This window comes from Homo sapiens, chromosome 13 (assembly GCF_000001405.40).
Source record: "Homo sapiens chromosome 13, GRCh38.p14 Primary Assembly".
In the NCBI taxonomy this organism is placed as follows: domain Eukaryota; kingdom Metazoa; phylum Chordata; class Mammalia; order Primates; family Hominidae; genus Homo; species Homo sapiens.
Genome location: NC_000013.11, coordinates 23768306 through 23785694, shown reverse-complemented (window position 1 = coordinate 23785694; position 17389 = coordinate 23768306). Strand labels below are relative to the sequence as shown.

Genomic DNA, 17389 nt, shown 5'->3' with positions numbered 1-17389 from the left:
AGAAGTCCCTCATACACCCTTTTTTTCTTTTTTTAGAGGACTTCTTTCTTTTTTTCTTTTTTTTTTTTTTATTATACTTTAAGTTCTAGGGTACATGTGCACAATGTGCAGGTTCATTACATATGTATACATGTGCCATGTTGGTGTGCTGCACCCATTAACTCGTCATTTACATTGGGTATATCTCCTAATGCTTTCCCTCCCCCCTCCCCCAACCCCAAGACAGGCCCCGGTGTATGATGTCCAAGTGTTCTCATTGTTCAGTTCCCACCTGTGAGTGAGAACATGCGGTGTTTGGTTTTTTGTTCTTGCGATAGTTTTCTGAGAATGTTGGTTTCCAGCTTCATCCATGTTCCTACAAAGGACATGAACTCATCATTTTTTATGGCTGCATAGTATTCCATGGTGTATATGTGCCACATTTTCTTAATCCAGTCTATCATTGTTGGACATTTGGGTTGGTTCCAAGTCTTTGCTATTGTGAATAGTGCCGCAATAAACATACATGTGCAAGTGCCTTTATAGAAGCATGATTTATAATCCTCTGGGTATATACCCAGTAATGGGATGGCTGGGTCAAATGGTATTTCTAGTTCTAGATCTTTGAGGAATCGCCATACTGTCTTCCACAATGGTTGAACTAGTTTGCAGTCCCACCAACAGTGTAAAAGTGTTCCTATTTCTCCACATCCTCTCCAGCATCTGTTGTTTCCTGACTTTTTAATGATCGCCGTTCTAACTGGAGAGAGATGGTATCTCACTGTGGTTTTGATGTGCATTTCTCTGATGGCCAGTGATGATGAACATTTTTTCATGTGTCTGTTGGCTGCATAAATGTCTTCTTTTGAGAAGTGTCTGTTCATATCCTTCACCCACTTTTTGATGGGGTTGTTTGTTTTATTCTTGTAAATTTGTTTGAGTTCTTTGTAGATCCTAGATATTAGCCCTTTGTCAGATGAGTAGATTGCAAAAATTTCCTCCCATTCTATAGGTTGCCTGTTCACTCTGATGGTAGTTTCTTTTGCTGTGCAGAAGCTCTTTAGCTTAATTAGATCCCATTTGTCAATTTTGGCTTTTGTTGCCATTGCTTTTGGTGTTTTAGACATGAAGTCCTTGCCCATGCCTATGTCCTGAATGGTATTGCCTAGGTTTTCTTCTTGGGTTTTTATGGTTTTAGGTCTAACATGTAAGTCTTTAATCCACCTTGAATTAATTTTTGTATAAGGTGTAAGGAAGGGATCCAGTTTCAGCTTTCTACATATGGCTAGCCAGTTTTCCCAGCACCATTTATTAAAGAGGGAATCCTTTCCCCATTTCTTGTTTTTGTCAGGTTTGTCAAAGATCAGATGGTCATAGATGTGTGGTGTTATTTCTGAGGGCTCTGTTCTGTTCCATTGGTCTATATCTCTGTTTTGGTACCAGTACCATGCTGTTTTGGTTACCGTAGCCTTGTAGTATAGTTTGAAGTCAGGTAGCATGATGCCTCCAGCTCTGTTCTTTTGGCTTAGGATTGTCTTGGCAATGCGGGCTCTTTTTTGGTTCCATATGAACTTTAAAGTAGTTTTTTCCAATTCTGTGAAGAAAGTCATTGGTAGCTTGATGGGGATGGCATTACCTATAAATAGGGCATTACCCTATTTATAGATGGGGAATCTATAAATTATCTTGGGCAGTATGGCCATTTTCACGATATTGATTCTTCCTATCCATGAGCATGGAATGTTCTTCCATTTGTTTATATCCTCTTTTATTTCCTCGAGCAGTGGTTTGTAGTTCTCCTTGAAGAGGTCCTTCACATCCTTTGTAAGTTGGATTCCTAGGTATTTTATTCTTTTTGAGGCAATTGTGAATGGGAGTTCACTCATGATTTGGCTCTCTGTTTGTCTGTGATTGGTGTATAAGAATGCTTGTGATTTTTGCACATTGATTTTGTATCCTGAGACTTTGCTGAAGTTGCTTATCAGCTTAAGGAGATTTTGGACTAAGACAATGGGGTTTTCTAAATATACAATCATGTCATCTGCAAACAGGGACTATTTGACTTCCTCTTTTCCTAATTGTATACCCTTTATTTCTTTCTCTTGCCTGATTGCCCTGGCCAGAACTTCCAACATTATGTTGAATAGGAGTGGTGAGAGGGGGCATCCCTGTTTTGTGCCAGTTTTCAAAGGGAATGCTTCCAGTTTTTGCCCATTCAGTATGATATTGGCTGTGGGTTTGTCATGAATAGCTCTTATTATTTTGAGATATGTCCCATCAATACCTAATTTATTGAGAGTTTTTAACATGAAGGCTGTTGAATTTTGTCAAAGGCCTTTTCTGCATCTGTTGAGATAATCATGTGGTTTTTGTCTTTGGTTCTGTTTATATGCTGTATTATGTTTATTGATTTGCATATGTTGAACCAGCCTTGCATCCCAGGGATGAAGCCCACTTGATCATGGTGGATAAGCTTTTTGATGTGCTGCTGGATTCAGTTTGCCAGTATTGAGGATTTTTGCACTGATGTTCATCAGGGATATTGGTCTAAAATTCTCTTTTTCGGTTGTGTCTCTGCCCGGCTTTGGTATCAGGATGATGCTGGCCTCATAAAATGAGTTAGGGAGGATTCCCTCTTTTTCTATTGATTGGAATAGTTTCAGAAGGAATGGTACCAGCTCCTCCTTGTACCTCTGGTAGAATTCAGCTGTGAATCCGTCTGGTCCTGGATTTTTTTTGGTTGGTAGGCTATTAATTATTGCCTCAATTTCAGAGCCTGTTATTGGTCTATTCAGGGATTCAACTTCTTCCTGGTTTAGTCTTGGGAGAGTGTATGTGTCAAGGAATTTATCCATTTCTTCTAGATTTTCTAGTTTATTTGCGTAGAGGTGTTTATAGTATTCTCTGATGGTAGTTTGTATTTCTGTGGGATTGGTGGAGATATCCCCTTTATCATTTTTTATTGCGTCTATTTGATTCTTCTCTCTTTTCTTCTTTATTAGTCTTGCTACTGGTCTATCAATTTTGTTGATCTTTTCAAAAAACCAGCTCCTGGATTCATTGATTTTTTGAAGACTTTTTTGTGTCTCTGTCTCCTTCAGTTCTTCTCTGATCTTGGTTATTTCTTGCCTTCTGCTAGCTTCTGAATGTGTTTGCTCTTGCTTCTCTAGTTCTTTTAATTGTGATGTTAGGGTGTCATTTTTAGATCTTTCCTGCTTTCTCTTGTGGGCATTTAGTGGTATAAATTTCCCTCTACACACTGCTTTAAATGTGTCCCAGAGATTCTGGTATGTTGTGTCTTTGTTCTCACTGGTTTCAAAGAACATCTTTATTTCTGCCTTCATTTTGTCATGTACCCGGTGGTCGTTCAGGAGCAGGTTGTTCAGTTTCCATGTAGTTGAGCAGTTTTGAGTGAGTTTCTTAATCCTGAGTTCTAGTTTGATTGCACTGTGGTCTGAGAGACAGTTTGTTATAATTTCTGTTCTTTTACATTTGCTGAGGAGTGCTTTACTTCCAACTATGTGGTCAATTTTGGAATAAGTGTGATGTGGTGCTGAGAAGAATGTATATTCTGTTGATTTGGGGTGGAGAGTTCTGTAGGTGTCTATTAGGTCTGCTTGGTGCAGAGCTGTGTTCAATTCCTGGATATCCTTGTTAACTTTCTGTCTTGTTGATCTGTCTAATGTTGACAGTGGGGTGTTAAAGTCTCCCATTATTATTGTGTGGGAGTCTAAGTCTCTTTGTAGATCTCTAAGGACTTGCTTTATGAATCTGGGTGCTCCTGTATTGGGTGCATATATATTTAAAATAGTTAGCTCTTCTTGTTGAATTGATCCCTTTACCATTATGTAGTGGCCTTCCTTGTCTTTTTTGATCTTTGTTGGTTTAAAGTCTATTTTATCAGAGACTAGGATTGCAACCCCTGCCTTTTTTTGTTTTCCATTTGCTTGGTAGATCTTCCTCCATCCCTTTATTTTGAGTCTATGTGTGTCTCTGCACATGAGATGGATTTCCTGAATACAGCACACTGATGGGTCTTGACTCTTTATCCAATTTGCCAGTCTGTGTCTTTTAATTGGAGCATTTAGCCCATTTACATTTAAGGTTAATATTATTATGTGTGAATTTGATCCTGTCATTATGATGTTAGCTGGTTATTTTGCTCGCTAGTTGATGCAGTTTCTTCCTAGCATCGATGGTCTTTACAATTTGGCATGTTTTTGCAGTGGCTGGTACCAGTTGTTCCTTTCCATGTTTAGTGCTTCCTTTGGGAGCTCTTGTAGGGCAAGCCTGGTGGTGACAAAATCTCCCAGCATTTGCTTGTCTGTAAAGTATTTTATTTCTCCTTCACTTATGAAGCTTAGTTTGGCTGGATATGAAATTCTGGGTTGAAAATTCTTTTCTTTAAGAATGTTGAATATTGGCCCCCACTCTCTTCTGGCTTGTAGAGTTTCTGCCAAGAGATTTGCTGTTAGTCTGATGGGTTTCCTTTTGTGGGTAACCCGACCTTTCTCTCTGGCTGCCCTTAACATTTTTTCCGTCATTTCAACTTTGGTGAATCTGATAATTATGTGTCTTGGAGTTGCTCTTCTCGAGGAGTATCTTTGTGGTGTTCTCTGTATTTCCTGAATTTGAATGTTGGCCTGCCTTGCTAAGTTCGGGAAGTTCTCCTGGATAATATCCTGCAGAGTGTTTTCCAACTTGGTTCCATTCTCCCCGTCACTTTCAGGTACACCAATCAGACGTAGATTTGGTCTTTTCGCATAGTCCCTTATTTCTTGGAGGCTTTGTTCATTTCTTTTTACCCTTTTTTTTCTAAACTTCTCTTCTCGCTTCATTTCATTCATTTGATCTTTAATCACTGATACCCTTTCTTCCAGTTGATCGAATGGGCTACTGAAGCTTGTGCATTCGTCACGTAGTTCTTGTGCCGTAGTTTTCAACTCCATCAGGTCATTTAAGGACTTCTCTACACTGGTTATTCTAGTTAGCCATTCGTCTAATCTTTTTTCAAGGTTTTTAGCTTCTTTGCAATGGGTTTGAACATCTTCCTTTAGCTCGGAGAAGTTTGATCATCTGAAGCCTTCTTCTCTCAACTCATCAAAGTCATTCTCCATCCAGCTTTATTCCGTTGCTGGTGAGGAGCTGTGTTCCTTTGGAGGGGGAGAGGCGCTCTGATTTTTAGAATTTTCAGCTTTTCTGCTCTGTTTTTTCCTCATCTTTGTGGTTTTATCTACCTTTGGTCTTTGATGATGGTGACGTACAGATGGGGTTTTGGTGTGGATGTCCTTTCTGTTTGTTAGTTTTCCTTCTAACAGTCAGGACCCTCAGCTGCAGGTCTGTTGGAGTTTGCTGGAGGTCCACTCCAGACCCAGTTTGCCTGGGTATCAGCAGCGGAGGCTGCAGAACAGCAAATATTGCTGAACAGCAAATGTTCCTGCTTGATCATTCCTCTGGAAGCTTCGTCTCAGAGGGGTACCCGGCCGTGTGAGGTGTCAGTCTGCCCCTACTGGGGGGTGCCTCCCAATTAGGCTACTCGGGGGTCAGGGACCCACTTGAGGAGGCAGTCTGTCCGTTCTCAGATCTCAAACTCCATGCTGGGAGAACCACTACTCTCTTCAAAGCTGTCAGACAGGGACATTTAAGTCTGCAGAGGTTTCTGCTGCCTTTTGTTTGGCAATGTCCTGCCCCCAGAGGTGGAGTCTACTGAGGCAGGCCTCCTTGAGCTGAGGTGGGCTCCACCCAGTTCCAGCTTCCTGGCCACTTTGTTTACCTACTCAAAGCTTCAGCAATGGTGGGCGCCCCTCCCCCAGCCTCGCTGCTGCCTTGCAGATCAATCTCAGACTGCTGTGCTAGCAATGAACGAGGCTCTGTGAGTGTGGGAACCTCTGAGCCAGGCGCGGGATATAATCTCCTCGTGTGCCGTTTGCTAAGACCGTTGGAAAAGTACAGTATTAGGGTGGGAGTGATCCGATTTTCCAGGTGCCATCTGCCACCCCTTACCTTTGCTAGGAAAGAGAATCCCCTGACCCCTTGTGCTTCCTGGGTGAGGCGATGCCTCACCCTGCTTTGGCTCACACTCGGTGGGCTGCACCCACTGTCCTGCCCCTACTGTCCGACGAGCCCCAGTGAGATGATCCTAGTACCTCAGTTGGAAATGTGGAAATCACCCGTCTTCTGCGTCACTCACGCTGGGAGCTGTAGACTGGAGCTGTTCCTATTCGTCCATCTTGGAACTGCCCCCCCCATACACCTTTTTAAATGTATTTGTTTTATGGTTTTTTGTTGTTGTGAATGGGATGTTTATCCTCCCACCTTTTTCTAGCTGATTATCACTGATACATAAGGAAGTTACTTGTTTTCATTTGTTGATTTTTGTGGCTGGAAATTCTAATGAAAACATACTATCTTTGATACCTGCCACAATTTCGGGGTTTTCTACATACACATCACTCACAACATTTGTAAATAACATTTTTGCTGCTGCTTTCCAATAGCTGTACGTTTCTGTTTGTCCTCAGCTGATTCAATGGCTTGAACTTTCAAACTGTTGCTAAATAATAATAGAAAAGGCAAACATCCTTATTTGGCATGTTTCTGGTTTGACCTATGGTTTGAAAGAGTGCTAGTGTGTGTACTTGAGAGAAGAGAACATTCCAGGATAAAGAGTGGGCATATTCAAATTAACAAGAAAGGATTGAGAAAGTTATGTGTGGAAACAGGTTGTACAAAGCTGAAGCTCTGTGTGGAGGAGTTACAACATGAGTAGAGGTGGCTCCTCTGAGGAGAGTGAGATTAATCAGATATGATGGATAATTCAGGCATACTGTAGAGTGTGGTGTTGTAGAATCAGGTGAGCTAGGCGTGAGATCTTCATCAGTAAGATGGTGATATCTAAATCACAGGACTATGACTGAAATAATGTATGATCAAAGCACTTAGCCCAGTGCCTGGCACCCAGTAAACACTAAGCAGATGTCATGTATTATTATTATTATTATTGTCAGTATAATAAAATAATGTAGAGCTTGAAAGGGGAATTGAAAAAAACGGGTAATTGACATGATAAAAATGGTATGTATAAATAAAATCAGTTGCACATAGGATGTGTCAAAGCAAGAAAAACAAATAGACCAAAATTGATGGGAATCTGTGTGTTCAGCATTCTTTCATTAGTGAGTTTTGAGGGAGTCTCTGCTCCCCAAGGCTAGCCATTGGCCAGGCCACCAGGGGTCCCCATGATAATGCACAGCTAGTTGCTTGAGCATGGTTATGGTGATTCGTGCCCCCAACAGCCTTCCATGACCATATGTGATTATTAATGTGCTAGAATAGTTTATCTTGGTGTCTTGCACACATCATGATTTGTAATGTATATATTTAATAATTATAAAAGAAAGCAGTTATTTGCTTTCTTTAACATACATTATCTTCAAATTCCTAACTTAGTGATGATGCAATCATTCTTTTCACATGTGTATGTTTTTTTGTGTCTTGGGGAAGCTTTGAAATACTTGCTGATTTATGGAGAGTGAAAAGTGAACCAGACTTTCTCAGAACATTTAGAAAAACTCAGACACTCAAAAGCTAAAATCAAACAGTATTTGAAATGATTTATACAATTGCAGCCATAACTTTTTCCCACTTAAGCCAAAGTACGTCTAAACAATCCTTTCATACTGCTAAGTCCTTTAAATGGAAGCAATAGATGTCTATAAATCAAATGATAGTTTACATTTATTTCATAACCACTTTTTCTAACCCATTTTCCCTCTTAAAACTTAGTATGTCCTCTAAGAAGTTGAACACTCTGTCCTGATTGAATTTAAATGAACATGAATAAAGAAATACATTAAAATATTTTAGAGAATAATATGCTGCCACAGTTAGTTTAGAGAAGCACAGTACTGAAGGCAAGTAGAGTAACACTAGGTGCAGTGGAGTTTGCTTATTTGAAATAAGGTAATTCAGCTCTAAGCTCATCAGTAGTGAGTAATAAACATGATTACTGCAGTGGAGTCAATCTCAAACTAGTCTATTGGACTAATCCTTGGAATTCACAAAACACTCTAATCTTATTTTTTAATAACTTCTTATCTCAAAATAGTTTATGTTCGTAAGTTGCAAAGTACCTTTCACCCAGCTTCCCCAGTGATAACATTCTGTGTAACCATGTGTACCGTCAAACCCAGGAAATTAACTGTGGTACAATACTGTAACACAGTAATCTGAATTACTTTCACATCCTCTATTTGTTCATTATGATTACTTCAGAAATTCACTGTCTTTTATTTTCTAGGATGGTGCATCTCAGAATGGTTAGCAAAACATAGTTTATAAGTTTAACCTACAACCTATGACTCCTTTTGTTCTGTTTAGATGATAACCAGATTTTAAGTGCATCATGAAGACAGGAACAACAGAAGCAAGATCAGTAGAGACTTGCACATCACTGGGACTTGCCCTGCATTCTGATGCTACCATGTTAGAGAAACACAAATACTTTAAAGTGCTCAGAGTTGAGAGCCACAGCAGCCATTGCTGTGTTTATGGTCCACTTGCCCCATGGGTAAAGTCAGAATAAGCCACGAGATCACCCATCTTAAGCATTTTCACCTGCCTTTATATCCTTGACTTCTCTTTTTACTTTAGTAGCACTGATTTTTTAATCTGTCCTTGAACTGTTTACTCACTGGCGTTTAAGCATTTTGAGCAAACCTGCAGTAAGAAATGCATTTTACATTATGATCTATTGTACAGATACATGTATGTACATTTAGGTGTATATGTACATATATGTGGGAGTGAAACTGAAACAAAAGTACCACAAATCTAAAGTTACCCTCTGTGCTGTGCACTATATATTTTCTGTCCCATTTTCTTCTTTTTTTTTTTTAATGCAGGTCACAAGCTACTGTACAGATTTTACAAACCATTAGTAGATACTGGTGCACAGTTTGAAAAATCTCCATGTTAACTTATCCTGCCCAGTGATTTTGCTTATTCTACTTTCTTTCCCAAGTCAACCATAAAACCTTTTTCCGATAGAGATGTTTTAGAACTAAATTATTTAGAACACTAAAACCACAACTTTTATTTAATCCCACCACCACTTCTCCTCATGTGTGTTAATTCATTTGAATGACATCTTTCAGGATGGATGATATATACATGTACAAGACAGTGTGAAAAATGATACAATGCAGTGCTGTGAGAACACTATTATAAATAGAGAAGTGTTGAATTTTGCCTCGTGGAGTCAGAAATGACCATTAATCTGGGCTTAGTTGCTTCTGCTTCAGATTTTACCCTAGCTTAAGCCACAGTAGGGAGGAGGGAGTGAGGAACAGGTAAGGTATGATAGAAAGTGGTTAGAGAATATATTAGTCCTGGTTGCTTGATGATAGGGAACTTGGAACAGAAGGGAGGGGCTGTTGTTTGGGGGTTGAAAATCAGACTGGGATCAAGTCCTGAAGAGTTCTTTATGTCTGCTCAGAGGCTTATATATGACTGGGGAGGGAATAGGGAGGCCTTAGAGGTTTGAAGTTTGTAAGCAGAGAAGTGACATGAGCAGATATAAGCTGCAGGCAAAAAGTTAAGGTTTCAGTATGGGTGATAGATGGGGGGTACAGAGATTGAAGGCAGGGAGAAAACAATCTATCCAAGAAATAGATGAAAACAAATAGAAAAATACAGTGAATATGACCATATACTTAAAAACATCTGTTTTTTAATCTGCTGGAATGATCTACATCATTTTGATAACATTTTATTCTTCTCTCAGCAACACATTTACCAAAAAAAATTCTTTTAAATATTTTATCCAGAGTTTAGTTGTTTCATTCAGGACTGTTGGAAATAGCAGACCCATTATGCTGATGAAACAGAAGTTCCTCCATTTGATTTATCTCTTCTTCCTGTGTTTTTGCTTTATTCTTGGAGATTGCCTTGATTTTATCCTCCTGCTCTTCCCACTGTTTTTGGTTTGGTTTTTGTTTTTGTTTTGGCAAGGATATTTTTATTTCTGGTAGCTGCTGCCTGTTCTTGTCTTCATTTTCCACAGCATTTTGGTTTTGTTTAATGAATGTAACTTTTTTTGGTAAGTAAAACATATATGCACATAGACCCTACGTACCCCAAAGGCCTTACAGTTTAGGCAAGAGGTGATGAGGATCTAAACCTGGGCATTGAGGATGAGTATGGAAGGGAAAAACTACAAGGAATATATTGAGATAAAATTATCAGGACTTCAGGATTGATTGGCAGTAACTGCGGATAAGGAATCAAGAGTCAATGCTGATCCCCAGCCTAAAAAGAGCACCTAGAAAAAGCCCACAGCTGACATTATACTCAGGGTGAAAGACTGAAAGCTTTCCTCTGAGATGGGAATAAGACAGCAATGTCTGCCATTGCCCCTTCTATTCAATATTGTACTGGTGGTTTTCACCATAGGAATTTGTCAAGAAAAAAATTAAAAGCATTCATATTACAAGGAAGAAATAAAATTATCTCTCTGCAGATGACATGCATGATCTTGTATATAGAAAATCCTAAGGAATACACACACACACACACACACACACACACACACACACACACACACACAGAGAACTGATAGGCTGGGTGCAGTGACTCATGCTTGTAATCCCAGCATTTTGGGAGACCAAGGCAGGTGGATCATTTGAGGCCAGGAGTTCAAGACCAGCCTGGTCAACATGGCAAAACCCCCCTGTCTCTACTAAAAATACAAAAAATTAGCCGGGCATGGTGGTGTGCACCTGTAATCCCAGCTACCAGGGAGGCTGAGGCAGGAGAATTGCTTGAACCTGGGAGGCAGAGGCCGCAGTGAGCCGAGCTCATCCCATTGCACTTCAGCCTGGGCAACAAGAGCAAAACTCCATCTCAAAAAAAAAAAAAAAAAAAAAAAAAAAGAACTGATAAACCAGTTCAGCAGGGTTGCATGGTATGAGATCAATATGCAAAAATTGTTTTTCTGTATTCTAGCAATAAACAACCTAAAAATTAAATTAAGAAGACCGTTCTATTTACAATAGCATCTGGAAGAGTAAAATACTTAGGAATAAATTTAGCAAAAGAAATTCAAGACTTGTAAAGTATAAACTGTAAAACATTATTGAAAGAAAGAAGACCTAAATAAATGGAAAGATGTCTCATGTTCATGGATTGTAAGACTTACTATTGTTAAAGATGGCAATACACCCCAAATTGACCTACAGATTTAACACAATCTCTATCAAAACCTCAGCTGCTTTTTTTTATAGAAAATGACAAATCTAATAAAATTTCTCACGGAAATGTGGGAGACCCAGAATAGCCAAAACAATCTTGAAAAGGAACAAAGCTAGAGGGCTCACACTTCCCAATTGAAGCAGTTACTACAGAGCTACAGTAATCAAGACTGTGTGGTGCTGGCATAAGGATAAACATACAGGTCAATGGAATACAACTGAGATTCCAGAAAAAAAAAAGCCATACATTTATGTTCAGTTGACAACTAATTGGGGAAAGAATTGTCCTTTCGAAGAATGGTGCTGGGAAAACTGGATCTCCACATGCAAAAGAATGAAATTGGACTCCTACCTTGTACTATATACAAAAATTAACTCAAAATAGATCAAAGACCTAAATTTAAGAGTTAAAACTGGAATATTCCTAGAAGAAAACATAGGATTACATACACATTTATGACCTTGGATTAGGCAATGGCTTCTTAGATACATCACCTAAAGCATAAACAACCAAAGAAACAGAAGATTTTTTTTATTTTAATGGGGACAAATTTTTTAATTTTAATGAGTTCAAATTTGTATCCAAAGAACACTACCATGAAAGTGAAATAACCCACAGAATGGGAGAATATGTATCTGATCAGAGTTTAATCTTTAGAAAAGCAACCCATTTTAAAGTGAGCAAAGGGTTTGAAGAGATATTTCTCCAAGGAAGATACAAAAATGACAAATTAGCACATGAAAAGATGTTCAGCATCATTAGGGATATGCAAATCAAAACCACAGTGCGAGACTACTTCATTCCCACTGGGATGGATATAATAAAAAGATGGGCAGTAGCAAGTGTTGGTGTGGATGTGGAGAAATTGGAACCCTCATACGTTGCTGGTGAGAATGTAAAAGGGTACAGCAGCTCTGGGAAACAGTCTCATAGCTCCTCAAAAAGTTAAACAGAGTTACCAGATGGCCCAGCAGTTCCACTCCCAGGTGGTAGGGAACTCTCACCCAATAGAACTGAAAACATATGCCCACCCAAAAATGTATGCACAAATGTACATAACAGCATTATTCATGATAGTCAAAAAGTGGAAACCACTCAATAGATGACTGGATGCACAAAAGCCTTGTATCCACTCAATGGAAAATTGGTCATAAAAAGAAATGAAGTATTGCTACAACATGGATAGACTTTGAAAACATTACGCTCGGTGCGACAAACTAGACACAAAAAACCTCTATTGTGTGATTTCATTTATATGAAATGTCCAGAACAGGTAAATCCATAGAGACAGAAAATAGATCAGTGGTTACCAGGAGCTGAAGGAAGGAGGAATGGAGAGGGACAGCGAATGGGCCCGGGGTTTCTCTTGGGAGTGAGAAAATGTGCTGGAGTTAGTGACGATGGTTGCACAATTTTGTGAATATACTGAAAACCATTAAAGTGTACACTTGAAAAGAGTGAATTATATGGTGTGTGATGTTTATCTCAGTTTTTTAAAGTTGCACAATTTTGTGAATATACTGAAAACCATTTAAGTGTACACTTGAAAAGAGTGAATTATATGGTATGTGATGTTTATCTCAATTTTTTAAAGAAGAGTCACTGTCTTAGAGCAGGGAAGGGCTGTGATGGGCCACACTCAATGCCTCCATTCCTTCCCAGGAAGAGGGAGACTGAATTGCCATAGAAGTTAGAGACCAGCTTTCCTGGGAAGGGTGTTCTGGCTAGTGTTCTGAGGGATTAGGTTTAACGTTGTAACCTATAGATCTAGAAGGAAATATGAGGCCATCAGCTCACCTCAGCCTTCAACAAGTTGTCATTCACCACAGATCCTTTTAACATTACACCTCAAACCTTCAAACTTAGGAGATGTGAGAAGAAAGCTCTTACAGAGCTTCTATATATAAAATACCTATAATATTATAGCATTTTAAAGTAATGCTAGTTGATTCTCTTTTTATACTAATAATTGTAAGAATACTTCAGCGCAGCAGCATTATTTATAGTGAATACTACTTTTAACTAATGGTATTGAATATTTTTATCTAATATGTTTTTTAAATTTCCATAATATGTACTGTTTGGCATTACCCAAGTTTTCCATATATTTCAGCCACAACTGTAGCCGTTTTTTTTGTTGTTGTTGTTAAAAAAAAATTGCTAAAAACTCTTGCATCAGGAATTTTGGAAATTCTTCAGATGAGACAATCAGGGAGGATTGATCACATGTTGATAGAATGCAGGCAGCCTTAGTCATTTCGGTGGCTCAGTCACATTCTTTATTTCTGTCAGTTATTCTGAACAAAATACAGGTGGTAACATGACCTGCAAATGACATACTGTCACAAGCCCTGGGCTATCCTTTAGAATGTGCAGTTAATAAGCTCTGGAATGCCTTTACATGGGAAGTGGGGGGGCAGTTGTTACGGATTCCTGGAGGTGAAGTTGTTTTTATTGTCTTTATTAATTTAGTTTCATCTTAGCAGGAGCATAATCCTTCGTAAGACACACCTCCTAATTGCACACGTCTGGCTTTTTACCTCTTAGGCAATGTAAAGGAAAGTTAATAGGATGTACTTTTTAATAGGATCTTAGGGGGATCTTTCACCATTAAAATGAGAAAATAAGTTTGGGGAGCAGCAATTATTCAAACCAAGGAAGTTGAGTGAATCATTTAGAGTTATTAGGTAAGGGTTAATAGGTAAGAGACACTGAAATGAGGATGTGGCTGTGCAAACACCACATTTCACGGGTTTCAGATGAAACATGACTGTTAGGGAAGAGTCTGTGTAGGAGTCATGCATTCTTCAGTATTTCACATACACCTTGGCCTAAGCTTATGAGAAGCTAATAGCAGTATTATTTTAATTTTGTTTTGTCACTTCAGAAATGCAGATGTGTGTGTGTGTGTGTGTGTGTGTGTGTGTGTGTGTGTAGTCAGCAAATTAGTTACATGTTACCTATTTGTTGATAACTTTATAATTTTACTGATTTTTGAAACTGGTTAATTATAGAAAAAGAATTTGAACTTACAGATGTAAACTGTTTCCAAATTATAGTCATTTATGTCTAATATTCTTGCTCCTTTTATCATTGTTTGTGTAAATATTTATTGAAGACACCCCACTAGTCACTGATACAAAGAGGTGTCTGATGTCCACCCTGCTTAGAAAGGATTCTGTTAGCAGCTGACAAACTGGACCATCCCGAGGACCAGCACAGTGCACACTTTTCCCTTCCCTTCTCTCCTTTAGCCCATGCCATAGCCCTAGGAGGTGGGTGTGGCCACGGTCAGGGTGGTTGTGGGATCTGGTGTTGGCTGTGCAGCCGGTAAGTGCAGAGCCTGCATTCCCATAGCACTTGTTGCAGTGTGACTGTCCAGTGATCCCGGATTTACTGTCTGCACCCCCCAGTGACTGTGCAGCCATGAGGTCAGGGTCCTCTCTAGTGCTGGCCAGTTGTGAATTCAGTGAGGTTTGGAAAGATGGATGATTTTCAAGTCTCTGTGCCTAGTGTTTATGCGCCATGCAGAGGTACAGAGGAAAGGGTGGTGAGCACGCACAAGACACAGGGCAGGCCCTCGCTGCCACGGCCAATGCTGAGGTGAAGTTAGGACAGCCTCTCCAGTTTTCTCTATGAAGACTGTAAAGGGACAATACAAACTCATTAGAAAATAATAAACTCGTGTGTTCTACCCCCTCTTCAATAAATCTTCCCACTGAAATAATCCCAGGTGCTGGCTGATTAGATTAATGGGGAGGGGGCAGTGGCGGTCTCTGGTGGTGGGTGAGTGGCTCTGAAGGTGAGGACTCCAGCCCAATTGCAGGACATCAGCCACACCAGAGAGCACCTGGGGGAGGCCAAGCTGGCAGGCAGGGGAGTTAGGCCCTGATTGAGCAAGAGGGTATGGAGTGGGAGTTCATCTGCACAGACTTCGATGCTGAGGTCCCAGCTGCCTGGGGGCAGGGGGACAGCAGTGAAACCGGTTGTTCCAATTGTGCCTGGAATTGGCACTGAGACAGCATCCTGACCCCCTCCCCTTTTTTTACTCATCAGAGAAGGTCTTGTTGAAGAAGCGTAATTTAAAAAGACATTGAGGAAAGTGAGAATGAGCCATATGGATCGACCTGGGGGAAGAGTATCTGAGGCAGAGAGGAGAGAGCTAGGATCAGGAGCTTACCTGGAGGCTACTGGACCAGCAAGTCAGTGGCATGTCTGGAGCACAGTGAACAACGGGAGAGTGACAGGAAGTGAAGTCTGAGCAGGACATGGTCTGAGGAAGCCATTCCAGGGTTCTGCTTGCCTGTTTAATGAAAGAAGTCAGTAGGCCCTTTCCTAGCCCATTTTCTGTTGCTTATAACAGAATACCTGAAACCGGGTAATTTACAAAGAGGAGTTTATTTTTTACAGTAATGGAGGCATGTAAATCCAAGGTTGAGGATCTGCATCTGGTGAGAGCCCTCCTGCTGGTGGGGACGCCGCAGAGTCCCAAGATGGGAAAGGGCCTCACATGGCAAGGGTGCTGAGTGTGCTCATGGGCTAGCTCAGGTCTCTCTTCCTCTTCTTATAAAGCCACCAGTCCCACTCCCATGATAGTCTGTTTATGAAGTCAGGGCCCTCATGATCCGGTCACCTCTTAAAGGCCCCACCTCTCAATACTGCTGCTTTGGGGATTAAGTTTCAACATGAGTTTTGGAAGGGACCATAGCAGCCGTATGTGACATCAAATTGTCCCATTTGTCCCTCTCCTTTTTGTATTGCAAGTTTATCTAACAGGGTAGAGGTGCTGGCTGCCTGATTCCCCACGGCAGGCGGAGACCTGGGTTCTAAAGCTATGAGCCCCTACAGGAATGGAGCCTCTGCCCACAAAGCCCAGTTATAGCCCTCCCCCCACACACCTGCTTCCTTGCACACTTGTGTGCAATCTGTTGGTGATACACCTGCCCTTGGACTCCTTCCCATTGAGAAGTTACTGTCCTTTCTGCATCACTTTTTGTTGTACTCTATGCCTGGAGAGAAAATCTCATGGTCTACAAAGGGCACTCATGTCCTTTTCCATTTTTCCTTTCATGGATTTTCCCTGATCCTATGCAGACACACCTCCTTTACTGAAGGACTTATGATTATCATGAAAACAAAAACAGAACCCTTCTTGTCGTGTGCCTCAGGGGTTTCATTGACTCCCAGAGCTGCCTGATCAGGGTTCAGACACAGTACCTGTTCCTACAGAGGCCCCGTTGCTGTCCTGGGCTGACTCTCCTGACCATGGACGTCCTTATTTTCTGTGTTAACTTCTCTGACACTTTCCCAATGTTAGCATGGGTTCCTTTAGAATGACGGGGCAATTTACCATTTTCTCAGCAGATGTTGGAGGAGAGAGAAAAAGCAATGTTAAAGAGTTTTGACTGGGAAGAAAAAGAGCAAGTATTTGTTGGTTCTGGTTCTGTGGTGGTTGTTTTTCATTTGTCTTAATTAGATCCATGTTACCTTTCTATGTCTCATCTAATAAATGTATTTCCATTTGAGTCAGTTACATCCCTGCTCTGCTAGTAGATTTGCTTTTGATAGACACAATCCTGTATTTCCAGGGGTTTTTTAATATTACATATAAATTACATTAACAGTCGAGGTTAGCATACTGAAGAGATGTGCTCCTAGTTAATATTTTGTTTGTCCTTAACATTACATCTGCCATACTACTTTGTGTGGGTTTTTGTTTTGTTTTGTTTTTGAGACAGAGTCTCACTCTGTCACCCAGGCTGGAGTACAGTGGTGTGATCTCAGCTCACTGCCACCTCTGCTCCCAGGCTCAGGTGATCCTTCTTACCTCAGCCTCCTGAGTAGCTGGGACTATAGGTGGGCTACCACGCCTAGCTAATTTTTGGGTTGTTTTTGTTTTGTTTTGTTTTTTTGGTAGAGATGGGTTATCACCATGTTACCCATGCTGGTTTCAAATTCCTGGGCTCAAGCAATCTGTTTTTATTGGCCTCCCAAAGTTCTGGGATTACAGACATGAGCCACCGTGCCTGGTCAACATTTTAAACTATAGTATTTACTTAACATAGCTTGTGTAAGAACTTTCTTTTCAGCTGTAAAAATAGCTCTGTGGTGTGTTTTGATATGTATTTTAGCAGACATGGTAGAAACAAAGTTAAAAGTT

At 40.3% G+C, this 17389-nt stretch overlaps 1 protein-coding gene across 2 annotated transcripts in view, besides 2 other annotated features; it reads left to right on the top strand.

Moving 5' to 3' along the window:
- MIPEP (mitochondrial intermediate peptidase) overlaps window positions 1-17389 on the top strand; it is a 159212-nt gene that overhangs the window by 103706 nt on the left and 38117 nt on the right. The window lies entirely within an intron of this gene.
- Window positions 8012-8061: an enhancer, noted in NCBI's record as "active region_7464". NCBI's record gives its function as "activates an Ori minimal core promoter by ATAC-STARR-seq in GM12878 lymphoblastoid cells {active_cell/tissue: GM12878}" and the evidence as "EXISTENCE:reporter gene assay evidence [ECO:0000049][PMID:35858748]".
- Window positions 8842-8891: an enhancer, noted in NCBI's record as "active region_7463". NCBI's record gives its function as "activates an Ori minimal core promoter by ATAC-STARR-seq in GM12878 lymphoblastoid cells {active_cell/tissue: GM12878}" and the evidence as "EXISTENCE:reporter gene assay evidence [ECO:0000049][PMID:35858748]".